Raw genomic sequence first — 17,821 nt, forward strand, 5'->3', positions numbered from 1 at the left:
AGGTTATGAATATGTCACAAAATTCCCAGTTACCCTGTAATCACTCATATATTTATTTCCTCCAGAAATGCAAACTCAACTTTCTGGAATCTTTGTGTATTTTCCATCTGAGCCATTTCTCAAGGTAAATAATCTATTTGTTCACTCTTCAGCTTTCGAAGTAACATTTTTTTGTTTTTCTGGACTAACCGTTGCAGTTTCAGCCGAGGTCACCTAGACCTCCTGTCTCTAGGTAGGTAAACTCTACTCTTCCTTTAATGTAGTTCCCAGCCAGTACAGAATTTAAAAACCCTGAAACTTTTCAAAATAGAGGAGTGAATTTAAAATTTGAATTCTCAAAAAAGAATCAGGATCTAAATTATCTTAGTATATCTTCAATTTCCTTAAATTGAGCCTTATTTGTATTCAAAATGGTATTTGATATTCAGAAGATCACACAAACTACATTATATGGATAAACTCTTCATCACATCTCAACCATACTATTTAAGCTTAAAAATAGTCTCACTTCCCAACATCAAATGTTACTTACCTCTTCATCATCTTCCTCGTCTTCAACATCCAGAATTCCTGAATCCTGTTCAGACTTCGGACTAGTACTTTCTATCTCTGTATCAAAGATTATATATGCATCTTTCTTAGATTTCCTCTTGCTACCTATTCTGGGTTGTTGCAAGACGATGTTATCCAGGTTTCTTTGCTGCTGGGCCTAGGATAGAGAAGAACACACACAAACACACCAAAAAGGTGGGGTTAGGGAGAGAGAAAGAAAGAAAAAAAGAAAAGAAACAAAACTTAATTAAGCTTTCAACAAACTTCTAATTTTGAACAAATTGATATCTTAACGAAAATACTACAACAAAAGGCCTTAGTACATAAAGTTTTAGTATCAGATATAAAACCATCACATTAATGTATACCTTTTTAACCCTGGAGCCATCGTATTTTAACTCATTTTCCAAGTTAACACAGAAAACAGATAATCAGTCAATATCATCATAAGGCTTTTCAAAAATATCCATTAAATCATCACAAAAAGAAATCTATCCAGTTTTGCCTTAGTAGGCCAGGAGATTAGTGCAAACGCCTAGCATTTATCTCTTACAAGAAAATACCACATTGAGACCATAATGCTTGGAGGAAAAAGGGTGGGGGCTTAGAATTAATTTTAATACATTTAGGCTTAAGAGACTGTTAAAAACAGTTATGTGGATATAAGAGACCAATGAAATAAAATCAGGAGAATGAATTATCTTCAGTAAGTGATTTGAACTAAGTAATCCAATAGGATTCCATGACTGTGATCTGTGGAAAGCAGGGTTATAAAGGGTTTTAAAGGGTTTTTTCTTCTGAACCCTAGAAAAGGTAGTATAATCCCTTCAGCTTAAAAAAAAATAGACTGACATGGTGGCATGGTTTCAATAGATACAGAGAAGTAGAAAGTGGGACTATCCAGAGTCAACAACAGAAGCATTAAACCACACATTATTAGAGCTAGAAGGTACCTTAATTGCCACTCAGGAAACTGAGGCTAGAAAACAAAGGATTTGCTTGAAGTCACAAGGCAAGTGAGTGGTAAATCAGAAGCTCAAAGTATGGTCTCCTAAATTTCAAATCAGTGACATTTCCACTACATCAACAGTCCCTCAAAGCGTGACCAAAATGTTTCCCAAAAATGAGTTGTGGTCAAATCAACAGGAAATACTGCGTCCCATGAAGCCTTCTTATAGATATGCAAGGCACACTAACAGAATAAAAGCTGGGAGAAGTCCTATTTTAAAGAAACTTGTTTAATCTGGTTTAACCCAGCATGTTCCAAAAACATTTCCCAAGAGAACTTTCCTTTTTGCTTTCTTTTAATGTAATATTTGGTATTACCCCAAGATAACAAAGCTTGAGAATGTGACCTCTGAAAGTATACATTTCTTAATCAATATAAGATATTTCTCCTCAGTGGCAAATAGAAATTAGTTCAGGGAAAAAATCAGTCTCCAAATCTTCTGCATAAGGTTAATGAAATGAAGATAAATATAAAGTATAAAAAGTTAGTCCAGGAATGGTGAAATGAGACAATTATAACAAGGCAGAGAAAAACTTCAACTATGTGAACTAGTTTCTGCCAAGAAAATGAAAAGAATCTACATTCCAGAGATTTGAATCAATGGACATACTTGTTTCTCTGCATATCAGCCATTGATATTTTGGTTAGATTTACATAAATACATGGCTTCAGTAACAAACTGAGATAGAGAAGTACCCCAAATCATTTAATTTAGGTTTGTACATAAGACACAATATCCTCCAAGCCTTTCAGAAACCAAGTTAAATAGAATATTCTATTGTTCTCAAAAGTAAGATGTTCTTCCCCACTTACTTCCAATGCAAAATATACAAAAAGGGATCAAGGACTCCGGGGCACAAAGGAAGGTAGAACTTCCTTTAAAACTTTCATATTTTTAAAAAGCAAGCTTTCAACTAGAGAGTGATCATTTGCTCCCTTAACTCTATCCTCTTGCAGTACAGCAAAACCAAACGATTTCATAAGTCGTATTTTATTGAATCCCAAGTTAATTATATTTCCTTCACAATCAATAAAATATTGTCAGTGTTTCAAAAGCAATGAACAAATGAAAGTTATCATCTATTCAAAATGTATGTTATGGTACTGGCAGGAGGTGGTGAAGACTAAATACTGATATAAATATATAAATACATATAATATATATTAAAATGAAAATGTGACATTGAAGTCCATGAAAATCAAAAAAAGAAAAAGCCCTTCAGAGATCTTTTCTAACATGCTATGCTGTTTCATCAAGATCACTGATTCTATCCCTTCAGAGACCATCATTATAATAATGTGTCAAAGAAGCAGCTGACTGACTTCTGCTGACTGGGATGGAATAGAGGGAGAGGGGTACAAGGAATACAAACAGCAGCTAGATCTTAGAAAGCATCTAGGTGTTTTCATTTTCTTAGTTGTTCATTCTATTTGTAAGTAATTTTTACACACTTAACCACCTCTTTCTCAAGAGTACTTCATATATATTCTTCTCTGATTTCCTAATATAGAGAAATTGAGCAAGGTTTATTCCTCAAACACTTATCTCTCAAATCACTCTTTCTACTCTCCCAAAACCCAGTAGCACAGGTCTTGTTTCCTATTACTAATGTGTGTTCCACCATCACCTCATTTCCATCACACCTAAAATGGAACTCATCACCTTCCAATTACAATCCCCCTACCTAATACAGCCAGGCTCTTCTTAAACCACATTTGTTCATCATGTCAATTAGATATAAGGGAAATTGGGCAGGTGGGGAGAGGGATTTAAACAAGTCTAAACTTCATAATCTAACACTTAGATTCCACCATAATAGAAGCTAAACCTAATTTTCCAATGTACTTACCCAATACCCTCCAAGATGAATCTTCCAATTGGATGAGGCTCTACCTCCTAATACGCTGGGTAAATTTCCACTTCTATATCCTTAGTTACGCCATTTCTTTACCTGATTACCTTTCCTTGCCTCAATCTAACCCTTCCTACAAAACCCAAGTACAATTCTTCTTCCTTTAGGAAGCAATTTCTCACTGCTCTAACTCATGATGCTTCCTCTCTGTACTCCTACCTTCAGTCAAACACGTGTTAAAAGTCTACATGGTACCAAGCATTGTGTTGCACACTGGTGATACAAAGAAATAAGATGGAGACCCTGACCCCTGAATCTCACATCATACTATTACAGGAAGCAAATCAACAAATAAAGGATAAATATGATAAAAAATAAATATGATTTTTCAGAGATAAATGAAAAAAGTAACCATTCCAGAAGAATGAAGCAGCAGGAGAAGGACTATGTATGAAAAAAATATTATCCACTCAGGAAACGGCAAGTAACTTTGTATAATTAGAGTATAGGTTATAAAGGAATAACAGGAGATAAAGATGCTATATAAAGCAGTTTCAATGTTAGAGAAACAATGAAAGAATGTAAGCAGGGGAATAATGGATCAGCTTTACAATTCAGACAAACCCTCTAGGAGTCAAGGAGTGGTCAACTGAGAGAAGACAAAGACTGGAAATAGAAAATCTAATATACATCACTAAAACAGTCCAAATAACATTATGAGAACTTGAATAAAGGTAGCAACAGATTACAAGAAGCAAAAGTAACAGAATTAACTGACTTAAATGTGGTACATGGAAGAGAAGAAGGAAATAAGAATAACTACAAGTATTCTGGCCGTGATGACTAAACAGTGGGGCCATTCCAAGCAATAGGAACCATGAAAATAGTAAGTTGAATGCAGGATAAAAAAAGATGAGTTCCCTAAACCTGTTGGGTATCCAGGTGAAAATGACAGTAAAGCACCTCAGTGTATACAACTCTTTCAGGATAAGAAAAACACTTTACCATTCTTAGACTGCCCCAAGTCCAGAAAGTGGCATACACATAGTAAATTTAGATATTTATTATATAAAGGCAACAGGTAACAAAAGGGAATTCATGTGAAAATGAGATTTGGCCCAATAAAAACTTATAAAAGACTTGACTTGAGTGCTTTTCTACCCATTAGAAGTTAGAGGAGAGCCCACAAGCATGACCTAACCTGGACTGTCAAACTAATTCACTATTAACACTTCTAAAACTGTCAAAGTGTGTCTATGAGGCATCTTACACAGGCCATTAAATAAACATTTATTGTGGAATGCAGCTTCCAGGGCTACCTAGCAATAAGACTCAGAGAGTTAAAAATAATAAGAATCAAAAGCTAAAGGCTCCTGACTTTCTCAATCCAATACTGACCTCTAGTGGATTAGAGGCATACAAACAAATGACCTTTAGAATAAGAAACTAGTTGAAAAGAAGATTTAGGCCTTAGAGGCCAAATATAATTATATAGGCTTCAATAACAGGGGAGAAACAAAGCTTCTTGGAGAAAGATAGGTCTTACTCTGCAACTTATTAATTGGGCAGGTTACTTCTCTCTGCAATATCCTTATCTATATATATAAAAAAAAATTAATCAAACCTACCTCAAAGCTGCCACAAGGCTTAAATGAGAAAATACATGTGAAGTCTCTTGAATTAAAACAAACAAACAACAACAACAACGAAAAACAAAAAAAAGCAAGCTTTACCTATCTTGCCTCTGAAAAAGAAATAAGAATTTTTTTTTTTTTTTTTTTTTTTTTGGAGACAGGGTCTCACTGTCATCCAGGCTAGAGTGCAGTGGCGCGATATCGGCTCACTGCAACCTCTGCCTCCTGGGTTCAAGCGATTCTCATGCCTCAGCCTCCCAAGTAGCTAGGATTACAGGCACGTGCCACCATGCTCGGCTCTGTTTTTGTATTTTTAGTAGAGACATGGTTTCACCATGTTGGCCAGGCTGGTCTCGAACTCCTGACCTCAAATGATCCACCCAACTCGGCCTCCCAAAGTCCTGGGATTACAGGTGTGAGCCACCACACCCGGCCAGGAATCTTGTTTCACTATCTACTATGGAAACATCTGAAACCCAGCAATATTTCTATACATAATAATTAATGACATCTAATATCACTGTATAACAAATTTTGCATTTACATACATTTCAAGTGTTATGTTTCTGTAATGGACACCATTGGTGCTCCACTTAAATCCTCTGTTTCACCTCTTATTCCAGCTACCATCAGCAACCAGTTCTGAACAGGCCTGGAAGCATCACATAATATAACCTGACATCAGGTTACTTGGATACTTGGATACTTACAGTACACTTCTTGCTGCCTGCCCTAGGACTTTTCTAATACCAGAATGTGGAACCCCACAAGAAGTACTCAGCACTCCTGCAGCACAATCTGGAAGTAAAACAACCCTTGAAAAGGAGCTGACAGAAATGTTTCTTTGCTTTGTTCCTTCCATAGTCAGTTCCAAAAGTCCTCTCAGAGAGTCCCATGGATTAAGCAACCAGACTGCCCTAGCATTATACCATTGTACTGACTCTCCCACCTTCTCTTTTCATTCCTCCTAACTCTTACTTCTGTTCCATGAGATCATACAATTGAATAAACCAGTCACATATCAACTCCGCAGGCTAAGAGAAACCAAAGCTACAATAACATCCCATCAACAATACAGTAAAGTGGAATTGTGATCCCTTGTTTAGTGTCTGAAGCCCAAAGGATAACCATGAAAATAAATGTCAAAATCAAGATAGGAAGAATCCAAAGATGCCACTTCAAGTCTCACCAAACAAAATTAACTGTAAAAAAGCTGTAGTTTCAAACCAGGGTTTTTTCACACTTATCAGGACTGGCTCTGGACTACATCTTTCTTTGGCAACCCACTCCAGTATCAGATTCGAACAAACAAAATGAAAACAAAACAAAAAAGTGATTTAAAATGAAGGAAAAAGACCATCTTCAGATAATCTCAAAAAAGTTATTTGTATGTTATTGTCCGTAGGAATGTGTTTATGTGAACACATGCATGTGTGTTTCATGTGATATTTTAAAACAAATAAATAGACAAATAGTTTTCTTACACCTTCATCATGACCCAAAGGATTTCCATCAATAAGGTTATTATACTTAGGACCTTTTTTATTTAAATCGAGGAAGGTGGTCACTATACCATCTTTAAAGTTCTCATAGTTACCCGAGGCCCAAGCAGATCTCCAAGTTCCTCAAGCACTCATCTCCTGGACAAGGAGTTTGGGTTGCCTCCACCTCCCGCACCCTGCCCCTGCTGGCCAAGGCAGAGAACTTGGGACCAAGATTTCCCTGCTCCACACCTAGGCATACCTCTGGGCACTTGGTGGCCCCCCACTGGATTCTCCTTCAGCACTAGTGCTTGTGCCTTCCACTGGCAGACCTGTAGGTGGGCCTGCTGGGTCTGACCCCTCCCATCTTACCCATCACTCCCCTAACCCCCAGGGCAAAGCTGGGAGCTGAGACCAGGGTGCACTCCACAGATCAGACCATTGCCTGAGGCAACAGAGAGCTTCTCCCAATAAACAAGGGTCAGATATATACCCAACCACATTGGGCACAATCAGCACTGACCCATATGCACCACCTACTGGCTTCCAAGTTCAATCACAAACTCAATATAAAATCTGCGGACAGAAGTTCATAGGCCATAGAAGAAAAGCCAAAAGACCCTGCCCAACATTCTCGGTAGTTATAGGCCTTAGGGAAGGTGAAAGAGAAGGGGAAATATATATATATGGGCAAAAAATAAAAATTTAAAAATTCTATCCACACAAAAATGATTACAGGCCAGGAGCAGTGGCTTATGCCTGGCTGTAATCCCAGCACTTTGGGAGGCCAAGATGGGCTGACTGCTTGAGCTCAGGAGTTCCAGACCAGCCTGGGCAACATGGAGAAACTCCATCTCTAACCATAAAAAAACAAAAAAATAAAAAAAGGCTGGGCACCTGTGGCTGTGATCCCAGCTATTCTGGAGGCTGGGGTGGGAGGATCACTTAATTTCAGGAGGCGGAGGTTGCAGTAAGATGAGATCATACCACTACACTCTAGCCTGGGTGATAAAGTGAGTCCTTGTCTCCAAAATAGAAAAGAAGTACAGAATTTTTTTTTTTTGAGATGGAGTTTCGCTCTTGTTGCCCAGGCTGGAGTGAAATGGCACAATCTTGGCTCATTGCAACCTCCACCTCCCGGGTTCAAGCAAAGAATTACAGAAATTAGAAGTCTCAATGTCTCCAGCTGAGAAGGAAGCAGTACAAATATTCTGGCACCATGAAAAATCTGAATGTAGTGACACCACCACAGGATCACACAGGCTCTCCAGCAATGGTTCCTAACCAAAACGGAAATTTAAAATTTAGGGTTGGGGAGTGATGGGTAAGATGGGAGGGGTCAGCAGGCCCACCTACAGGTCCCCCAATTGGCCAGGCTGATCTCTTCTTTAACAAATAAAGAATTCAAAATGGATTGCAAAGAAGCTCAATGACATCTAAGAAAAGGTTGAAAATCAACACAAAGAAACTTCTAAATTAATCAAGGAAATGAAGAGAAAGATAAATACATTAAAAGAAATTAATTAGAGCTTCTGGAATTGACAAACTCACTTAGGGAATTTCAAAATACAACAGAAGGTTTTAGCAACAGGCTGGACAAAGTGGAAGAAAGAATTTCAGACCTTAAAGACCAGTCTTTAACCTAACCCAGCCAGACAAAAATAAAGAAAAAATAATTTTTAAAAATGAGCAAAGTCTTCAAGAACTATGAGATTATGTAAAACAACCAAACCTATGAATTACTGGCATTCCTAAGAGTGAAGAAGAAAAAGTCAACAACCTGGGAAACATATTTCAGGGAATAATTATAGGTAACCTCCCTAATCTCACTGGAGAGGTAAACATACAGATATTAAAAATCCAAAGAACACCTGCAAGATACTACACAACATGAACATCATCAAGGCATATAGTCAACACACTATCCAAGGTCAACTCTGAAAGAAAAATCTTGATAGTAGCTAGAGAAAAAGGTCAAATCACATACAAAAGGATACCCATGGGGCTAACAGTGAACTTCTCAGTAGAAATTTCACAAGACAGGAGAGATTAGGAAAATATTTTCAGTATTGTTACAGAAGAGAAACTCGAACCAAGAATTTGATATCCAGCCAATTAAACTTCATAAGCAAAGGAGAAATAAAATCTTGTCCAAACAAGCAAGCACTAAGGGAAGTTGTTACCACTAGGCCTACCTTAAAAAAGACCCTTAAAGTTCTCTGGTTTTTTTTGTTTTTGTTTTTGTTTTTTTTGATGGAGTCTTACTCTGTCACCCAGGCTGGAGTGCAGTGGCATGATCTCAGCTCACTGCAACCACCACCTCCTGGGTTCAAGCTATTCTCATGCCTCAGCCTCCTGAGTAGCTGGGACTACAGGCGCACGCTACCATACCCAGCTAATTTTTTGTGTTTTTAATAGAGATGGGGTTTCACCATGTTGGCCAGGCTGGACTCAAACTCCTGACCTCAAGTGATCTGCCTCCCTTGGCCTCCCAAAGTGCTGGGCTTGCAGGCATGAACCATCCGCACCCGGCCCCTTAAGGGAGTTCTAAACATGGAAACAAAAGAACAATACCTGCTACCACAAAAGTATACTTAAGTACATTGCCCACAAGACCCTATAAAGCAATAACAATAGAAACTACAAAGCAACCAGCTAACAATTTCAATATTAACTTTGAATATGAAGTCTAAATTCCCTACTTAAAAGGCACTGATATGCAAGTAGGGTTAAAAAAAAAAAAGAAAACAAGACCCTTCCATCCTGTCTTTAAGAGACCCATCTCACATGTAATGACACCCATTGGCTCAAGGGATTTGGGCCTACTCATAGGCACAAATAGAAAACAAAACAAAAAAAAGCACAGGCTACCATTCTTATATCTGATAAATCACACTTTAAGCCAACAACTATAAAAAAGGACAAAGTAGGGCATTATATAATGACGAAAAGTTCAATTCAACAAGAAAACTTAACTATCGTAAATATGTATGCACCTAACATTGGAGAACACAGATTCATAAAACAAGTTCTTCTTGACCTAAGAAAAGACTCAGACAACCACACAAAAATAGTGAAGGACTTCAGTACCCCACTGGTAACAGACAGATCACAGAGGCAGAAAACTAACAGACATTCTGGACCTAAATTCAACAGTGGACCAATTGGACCTAACAGACATCTACAGAACACTTCACCCATCAACCATGAATATACATTCTTCTCATTTATACAAGGAACATACTCCAAGATTGATCACATTGTTGGCCATAAGGAAAGTCTCAAATTAAAAGAAAAAAAATTGAAATCATACCAACCACACTCTCAGAGCACAGTGGAATAAAAACAGAAATCAATACCAAGAAGATCTCCCCAAACCACACAATTACATAGAAATTAAACAACTTGTTCCTGAATTACTTTTGAGTAAACAACAAACCAAGACAGAAATCAAAATATTCTTTGAAATAAATGAAAACAGAGACACAACATACCAAGATATCTGGGATGCAACAAAAGCAGTGTTAAGAGGAAAGTTTATAGCCCTAAACATCTACCTAAAAAAGTTAGAAAGATCTCAAATTAATGATCTAACATCATACCTAGAGAAATGAGAAAAACAAGAACAAACCAACCCCAAAACTACTAGAAGAAAAAACCATCAGAGAAGAATTGAACAATACTGAGATGCAAAAATGCATACAAAAGATCAATGAAATTAAAAATGGGTTGTTCTAAAGAAAAAACTAGATTAATAGATTATGAGCTAGATTAACAAATAAAAAAGAGAGAAAATCCAAAATAGCACTATCAGAAATGACAAAGATGGCCAGGTGCAGTGGCTCATGCCTGTAATCCCAGCATTTTGGGAGGCCAAGGCAGGTGGATCACCTGAGGTCAGGAGTTTGAGACCAGCCTGGCCAACACGGTGAAACCCCATCTCTACTAAAAATACAAAATCTGCCAGGCATGGTGGCACACACCTGTAGTTCTAGCTACTAGGGAGGCTGAGGCAGGAGAATCACTTGAACCCAGGAGGCAGAGGGTGCAGTGATCCGAGATCACGCCATTGCACTCCAGCCTGGGCAACTGAGTGCAAAAAAAAAAAAAGAAATGACAAAGGTGATATTACAAGAGATACCACAGAAATATAAAAGATCCTCAGGGCCTAGTATGAACACCACTATGCACACAAAGTGGAAAATCTAGAGGAAATGAATAAATTCCTGGGTAACACAACCTCTAAAGATTAAATCAGGAAGATAGTGAAACCCTGCTAGACCAATATCGAGTTCCAAAATTGTATAAGTAATGAAAAAAACCTACCAACCTAAAAAAAGCCCTGGACTAGATGTATTCATACCCAAATTCTACAAGATGTGCAAAGAACAACCACTGGTACCAATTCAACTGACATACAGACCAAACAACACAATAGAGAACCCAGAAATAAAGCCACACACCTACAACCATCTGATCTTCAACAGTCGACAAAAATAAGCAATGGGAAAAGGAGTTCCTAATTCAATAAATGGTGCTGGGATAACTGTGTAGGTATATACCAAAGAATGAAGCTGGACCCCTGTCTTTCACATATACAAAAATTAACTATGATGGATTAAAGATTTCAATGGAAAACCTCAAACTATTAAAATGCTAGAAGAAAACCTAGGAAATGTCATTCCAGACATCAGCCTTGGGAAATAATTTATGTCTAAGTCTACAAAAGCAATTGCAACAAAAACAAAAATTGATAAATAGGACCTAATTAAACTAAAGAGCTACACAACAGAAGAAACTATCAACAGAGAAAACAGACAACCTACATACAGAATGGGAGAAAATATTTGCAAACTATGCATCTGATATCCAGAATCTATAAGGAACTTGAACAATTCAACAAGCAAAAACAAATAACCCCATTAAAAAGTCGGCAAAATACATGAACAGGCACTTCTCAAAAAAAGACACACCGCAAACTTGGCCAGGCGCGGTGGCTCAAGCCTGTAATTCCAGCACTTTGGGAGGCCGAGGTGGGCAGATCACAAGGTCAAGAGGTCGAGACCATCCTGGTCAACATGGTGAAACCCCGTCTCTATAAAAAAATACAAAAATTTGCTGGGCGTGGTGGCACATGCCTGTAATCCCAGCTACTTGGAAGGCTGAGGCAGGAGAATGGCTTGAACCTGGGAGGCAGAGGTTGCAGTGAGCTGAGATCGCGCCACTGCACGCTAGCCTGGCGGCAGAGCAAGACTCCGTCTCAAAAAAATAAAAAAATAAAAAAAAAAGAAGACATTCATCAACAAACAAAAATACGAAAAAATGCTCACCATTACTAATCATCAAGGAAATGCAAATCAAAACCACAATGAGGTACCATCTCACACCAGTCAGAATGGCTACTATTAAAAAGTCAAAAAACAACAGATGCTGGTGAGGCTGCAGAGAAAAGGGAATGCTTATACATTGTTGGTGGGAATGTAAATTAATTCAGCCACTGTGGAAAGCAGTTTGGAGATTTCTCAAATAACTTAAAACAGAACTACCATTTGACCTAGCAATCCCATTATTGGGTATATATCCAAAAGAAAACAAATCATTCTACCAAAAATACATATGAACTCACATGTTCATTGCAGCACTATTCACAATAGCAAAGATGTGGAATCAACCTAGGTGCCCATCAATGGTGGACTGGATAAAAAAAAAATGTGGTACATATACATCATGGAATACTAGGTAGCCATAAAAAGTAATGAAATCATGTCCTTTGCAGCAGCATGGATGCAGCTAGAGACCACTATCCTAAGCAAACTAATGCAGGAACGGAAAATCATATACTGCATGTTCTCACTTATAAGTCAGAACTAAGCATTGGGTAATCATGGACATAAAGATGGCAACAATAGACACTGGGGACTGACTAATAAAGGGGGAGAGAAAGGAAAGAAAAGGGTTGAAAAATTAACTGTTGGATACTATGCTCACTATCTGAGTGACAGGATCATTCACATCCCAAACCTTAGAATCACACGTGTAACAAACCTGCACGTGGCCACATGAAACTAAAATAAAATTAGAAATTATTTTTTAAAGTGATGATGATAATAATATGTTAGGGCCACCTTATCTTTAACAAAAAATACATATGTAAAATAATTGTGTTGGTTTTGTTGATAAAAATAAACAAATAAATAAAATTATAATCATTGGGCGTCAAAGAGAATCATCAACAGAGTAAAAAGGCAGCCTAGAAAGTGGGAGAAAATATTCACTAATCATGTATCTGATAAGGGATTAATACCCATAGTATATGAAGAATTCCTTAAATGCAACAACAACAACAAAAAAAAAACAACTAACCCAATCTTTTTAATGGGCAAAATAGTTGAATAGACATTTCTTGAAAGAATACATACAAATGTCCAACAAAAATATGAACAGATGTCAACATCACCAATCATTAGAGAATACAAGTTAAAACCACAAGGAGATATCCTCACACCCATTAGGAGGGTCACCATTAAAAACAAATAAAATGACAAGTTTTAGCAAGGATGGGGATAAACTGGAAACCTTGTGCATTGTTGGTGGAAATGTATAATATTTTCCACTACAGAAAACAGTATGTAGGTTCCTCAAAAATATTTAAAATGAAATTAAAACATTATCCAGAAATCCCATGTCTGGTTAAATATCCAAAGAATTTAAAGCACGAAATCAAAGAAATACCTGCAAGCACATGTCCGTTGCAGCATTATTAACAACAGCCAAGAGGTGAAAGCAAACCAAACATTCATCAAAGGATGAATGGATAAAGAAAATGTGGCATATACATACAATGAAATATTATGTGGTCTGAAATAAGAAAATTCTGTCACATTTTACAGCATGTATAAACCTTAAGGACATTATGCTAAGTAAGCTAGTCATAAAAATTAAAAACAAAACTGTATGAAACCACTCATATGGGGTATCTCAAGTAGTCAGACTAATAGAAATAGAAAGTAGAATGGTGGTTGCTAGGGCTGGGAGCAAGGGAATATGGGGCGTTAATGTTCAGTGAGTATACAGTTTCAATTTTGCAATATTAAAAAGTTCTAGAGATTGGCTGTACAACATTGTGAATATACTTAACACTACTGAACTGTACAATTACAGCTTGACCACACTGGAAAAAAAATCAATTAATAATTTTAATTTTTTTAATTATAATTGATATCCTTAGCCCTTTGAAAATTGAAAGGTTTGACTCCAGATTATAATTAAATATTTATTTCATTGGTGGATGAGGAGGTATTTGTACTATTAGAACTCATTTTAATGATGGACACATAGAGGACATTACAATTTGTGTGAAGCAATAATGAAATTTTTACAGAATTCTTTAGTGAATTTGAGTAATTCCCAGCTCTTTTTAAATATTACCTTTTTCCTTTACATAGACATATACGCACTCACACCAACATGGGTTAATTGCACTTACTTGATAGATTTCTTCATAGGAAAGTAAAAAATTAAAAGAATTACTATGAAGAAACAAAAGGCAGTGACGCCAAGAAGAAAAAAACACCAGAAAAGAGTCACGATACCTAATTTGTTCTAAATGCGACTATTTGTGTAATCTTGTGTCATTTTACTCACTTAAAAAATAAAAAAATTTGAGCCTCTTAAAATAGATTTAGCCCTAAATTCTATATATTCATTATTTTGACACTTGAAACAATATAAATTCAGTGCAAAAAAAGTAGAATATAACATTTATCTTACTTCAAAAATGAAAAAAGAGATAAATTTTTTAAAACCACAACACTTTCTGATAAGACAGTTGACACAAACTTAGTAACTCTTTAATAATTAATACGCATATTTGAGTTGAAATAACTAATTCAAAGGGAAAAATTAATTTATTTCATTTCCTTCTACCATCTTCAACAAAGTATTACGAAGTGCTCTGAATTTCTGAAACATTATCAAAATGCAAAACAGTCAGTAGTATGTACTGAGTATTCAGAATACTTAAATTAAGAACACATTCCAGGAAAAAAAAAAGTATTTTTTGTTAAAAGAGTAATGTTTTAAATTTTGGCAATGAACGGGATATGCAGGTCTATCTGGTAATTTGGCTCCAAGTGATCTGCTGTGAGGTAGTGTCTACATGAAAATTAGTTTTCACCTAGCAAAACTAAGGGGAATCTAAAAGGTTGTTGTGAGTGTGCACAGTGGGTCACTAAAATTATCTCCCCATGTCTACTTACTCTCTTTTTTTCTCCTCATATGTTTGCACCAAAAAAAAATGATATAACAGATCTGATATAACTTAGTTGACATGGCATTGAATGGAAAAAAAAAATGATGTGTTAGAAAGCCACATTTGGATTTAAACATTCTGTTTCAAATAAAGGCTTCTGTAAGAAGTTCAATGAAAAGAAGAAATTCAAAGACCACATCAAAGTGAAGGGCAGTACTCCAAGCTGCCCTCCAAAGAGGGGAGAATGATGAAGGAAGCCAATTTTTAGCAGAGGAAACATGTACCTTTAGTGTGGTTTACTAGAAAAGCCAGGACATAACGTCTCCTATCCTGTAAATTACCTTGACAATTGGGCATAATCTTAGGATTTTGGTAATGTTGTGGATAGAAGTCACTGGCTATATAAGTTGCTAATGAGATGAAGGATGGGTGATTCAAACGCATATAAGACAACTTATCATAGACAAAAACTCCATACAAAGAAATTTTGATTATGATCCATTCATATTATACCAGTAGTATAAGCTACTGGTAACAAAGCAAATCTAGAAAAATAATATGAATAACATTGTAGTTTATAAACATAAGTAGAAAAGTTATAAAAATGAAAATCTATGTTCACACTCCAAGAGTATTTTAAGAAAAGCTATCAAGAGACCCAATCAATACATAATAGAAATATTAACAAGAAAACAATATGTTACTATGCTATGCTTGATTCATATTCCCCAGAAATTCTACATATAACAACAAAAAATGGCAAAAAACTAAGGATCTAAAGCCTAGCTTTGTCCACATTGAGGGTTTTTGTTAAAGATTCAAAAGCTTAAAATTAAAATCATTCACTTCACTTTACGTACAACTGCCTAGCACTGTAACTAGCACAGAACAGATAGTTTTTAAATGAGTTTCTTTCTTCCTTCCATAATCTAATGTTTCTTTATCAATAACTTCTGCTAACATAGAAGGTATATTTTTATGGACCACACTAGACAGGTATGATCAGTATCATTACAGGGAGATAGATCATATCTCTACTACCTATTCCTTTAAGAAGTGTCATAGGAAAATGGATAGCATAATTGCCATTTAGTCAACCTATGAAAGACCAAACAAAAGAACCATAATCTAGCTTATAACAATGAATTAAAAAGTTGATCCCAATTTCTTACAAAAATTGAGTTTTGATGAACCATAGTAGAGAGCTAAGAAGTGTGTCAGAGAATACAGAGAACATCTCTATTACCTGTTCTGTAAAAAGTGCCATAGAAAAAAGAATAGCAAAAATTGCAATGTACCCAATCTATGAAAGACCAAACATTGTAAATTAAGATCTAGTTTATGAAAATAAATTAAAAGACTAGTACAAATGTGTCACAAAAATTGAGGAGTAGGCTATCAGAGTTAATCAAAATGAAGTTATTAAAACTTCTAATTTGGACCATCTGTCTACATATGTGATTTTTAAATGTCTTATCTTTATCCACCAATGAAGCTAGTGATGTTTGTTTCAAAAATAAATGCAAACTAAATTGTTCTGTGATTGTCACTGGAGCTGATTATTACAAAGCTGAAAGACAGCTACTGTTACCTCAGGTTCAGAATAGTTACTGCTCATTTTGTCTGATATTTTATGAGTCCTTTTAAGAGACTGAGACACACAATATTAAGAAACCATTTATAATAACCCTTTGAATGGCATCATATTCCTAAGAAACAATATTACCAAAAGCAGCCTTTCTATAAGAAGAAAAAGAGTACAAAGTTAACAAAAAATGACAGCAAAACGGCTCAAGGCTAGAGACCCATTTGAAACTTTTAAAATCTTCCTAAAATCAGATGGACATGTGTTCTCTTATTGCTAGGTATAAAACTATACACTCACACAAACTTCTGTTTCCAGTTTTAACTTAAAAGCCAGGTGTTTCTCAAGATATTAAAGGTTCCTATACATCCTCCTAATGAAATTTAACCTTGTTATCACAGCAGGTATTTAGTCCAGTAAAAATAATCAAGTTTACAGTCATTAATGTGTAAATCAGAGAGTCTGTAAATAATTTTGAATCTAGAAATATCATTATGTAGCAAATAAAAAGGGCAAACTAAAGGAGGAAATATAAATGTCTGCTAATAGGGAATCATATCACGAAAAAGAATAAGAAATTTATACAACATAAATATGAAGAAATATTGCTCAATTAATTTTTAAAAACCATGTATTGAAAGAATAGTTACATGGAGAAATGTTCTTAATATTATGTTGTTTTAAAAAAGATATTTATATATACAATATTATCAAAATTTTATAATACAAATGTGAATATAAATAATTGTAAAGAATATCCACTTCTGGCAATGGTGAACTAGATAATTTAGATAAGAAAAAGAACAACAAAGTATAAAAGCCGACTGTTTAAAGGCATCAGAGAGCTAAAAAGATGGCAAAAACCTTTTGGGCCAGCATCCAGGAAAGGAAAGTGGGGAAGAGAGACCAATATTTGTAGCCATTCTTCCTTTGAGGGCATTTGCCAATATTGGAGGGGTGACAGAGTGACTAAGTGGCACTTTTGACAATGCCAAAGGATTAGAAAATAGACACAAAAGTCAAGTTCCAACAGGTAGGAATGGCCTTGATATATCCCTCACTTTGGGTTGGAGCCCTGAAAACTTGAACTCTATGACAAGGGTACACCAGGATTAGACTGACTGTCCCTTGCAGGAACCCATACTAAGCATGAAACTGGATTAAGGTAATTACAAAGTATTAGTGTCCCCCAGGATCCTAGAATAATACTGTCCACTGGTGTCTGATCAAAGCAAACGTGAATCCTCTCCAAAAAAAGATACCATCATCCCAGACTTTCAGTGGTTTCTACAAACAATTTTGACACGACAGTGCTGTGGTGCTGTGATATAATAAGAAATATATATTTGGTCTTCATCCCCACTGCCCAGCACAGAGCTTCTAAAACCCTTGTAACTTCCTAAGTGACAGAGGTGATGCGAGCATCTTTAGTTATAATATTTGGTTTTGTCCCTGG

General features: G+C 36.0%; 1 protein-coding gene across 11 annotated transcripts in view; it reads right to left on the reverse strand.

Annotated features, from left to right (window-relative positions):
* The window catches only part of EXOC6B (exocyst complex component 6B), a 650,050-nt gene that overhangs the window by 398,976 nt on the left and 233,253 nt on the right, over positions 1–17,821 (reverse strand). For all 11 annotated transcript variants that reach the window (NR_135774.2, NR_135773.2, XR_007071495.1 and 8 more), the window contains one exon: positions 533–709. Coding sequence is in view for 8 of the 11 variants with exons in the window: in NM_001321734.2 (NP_001308663.1) it covers positions 533–709 (177 nt within the window). In the remaining 3 variants the exon portion in view is untranslated. The remainder of the gene's footprint in view (positions 1–532; positions 710–17,821) is intronic.

This window comes from Homo sapiens, chromosome 2 (assembly GCF_000001405.40).
Source record: "Homo sapiens chromosome 2, GRCh38.p14 Primary Assembly".
In the NCBI taxonomy this organism is placed as follows: Eukaryota; Metazoa; Chordata; class Mammalia; order Primates; family Hominidae; genus Homo; species Homo sapiens.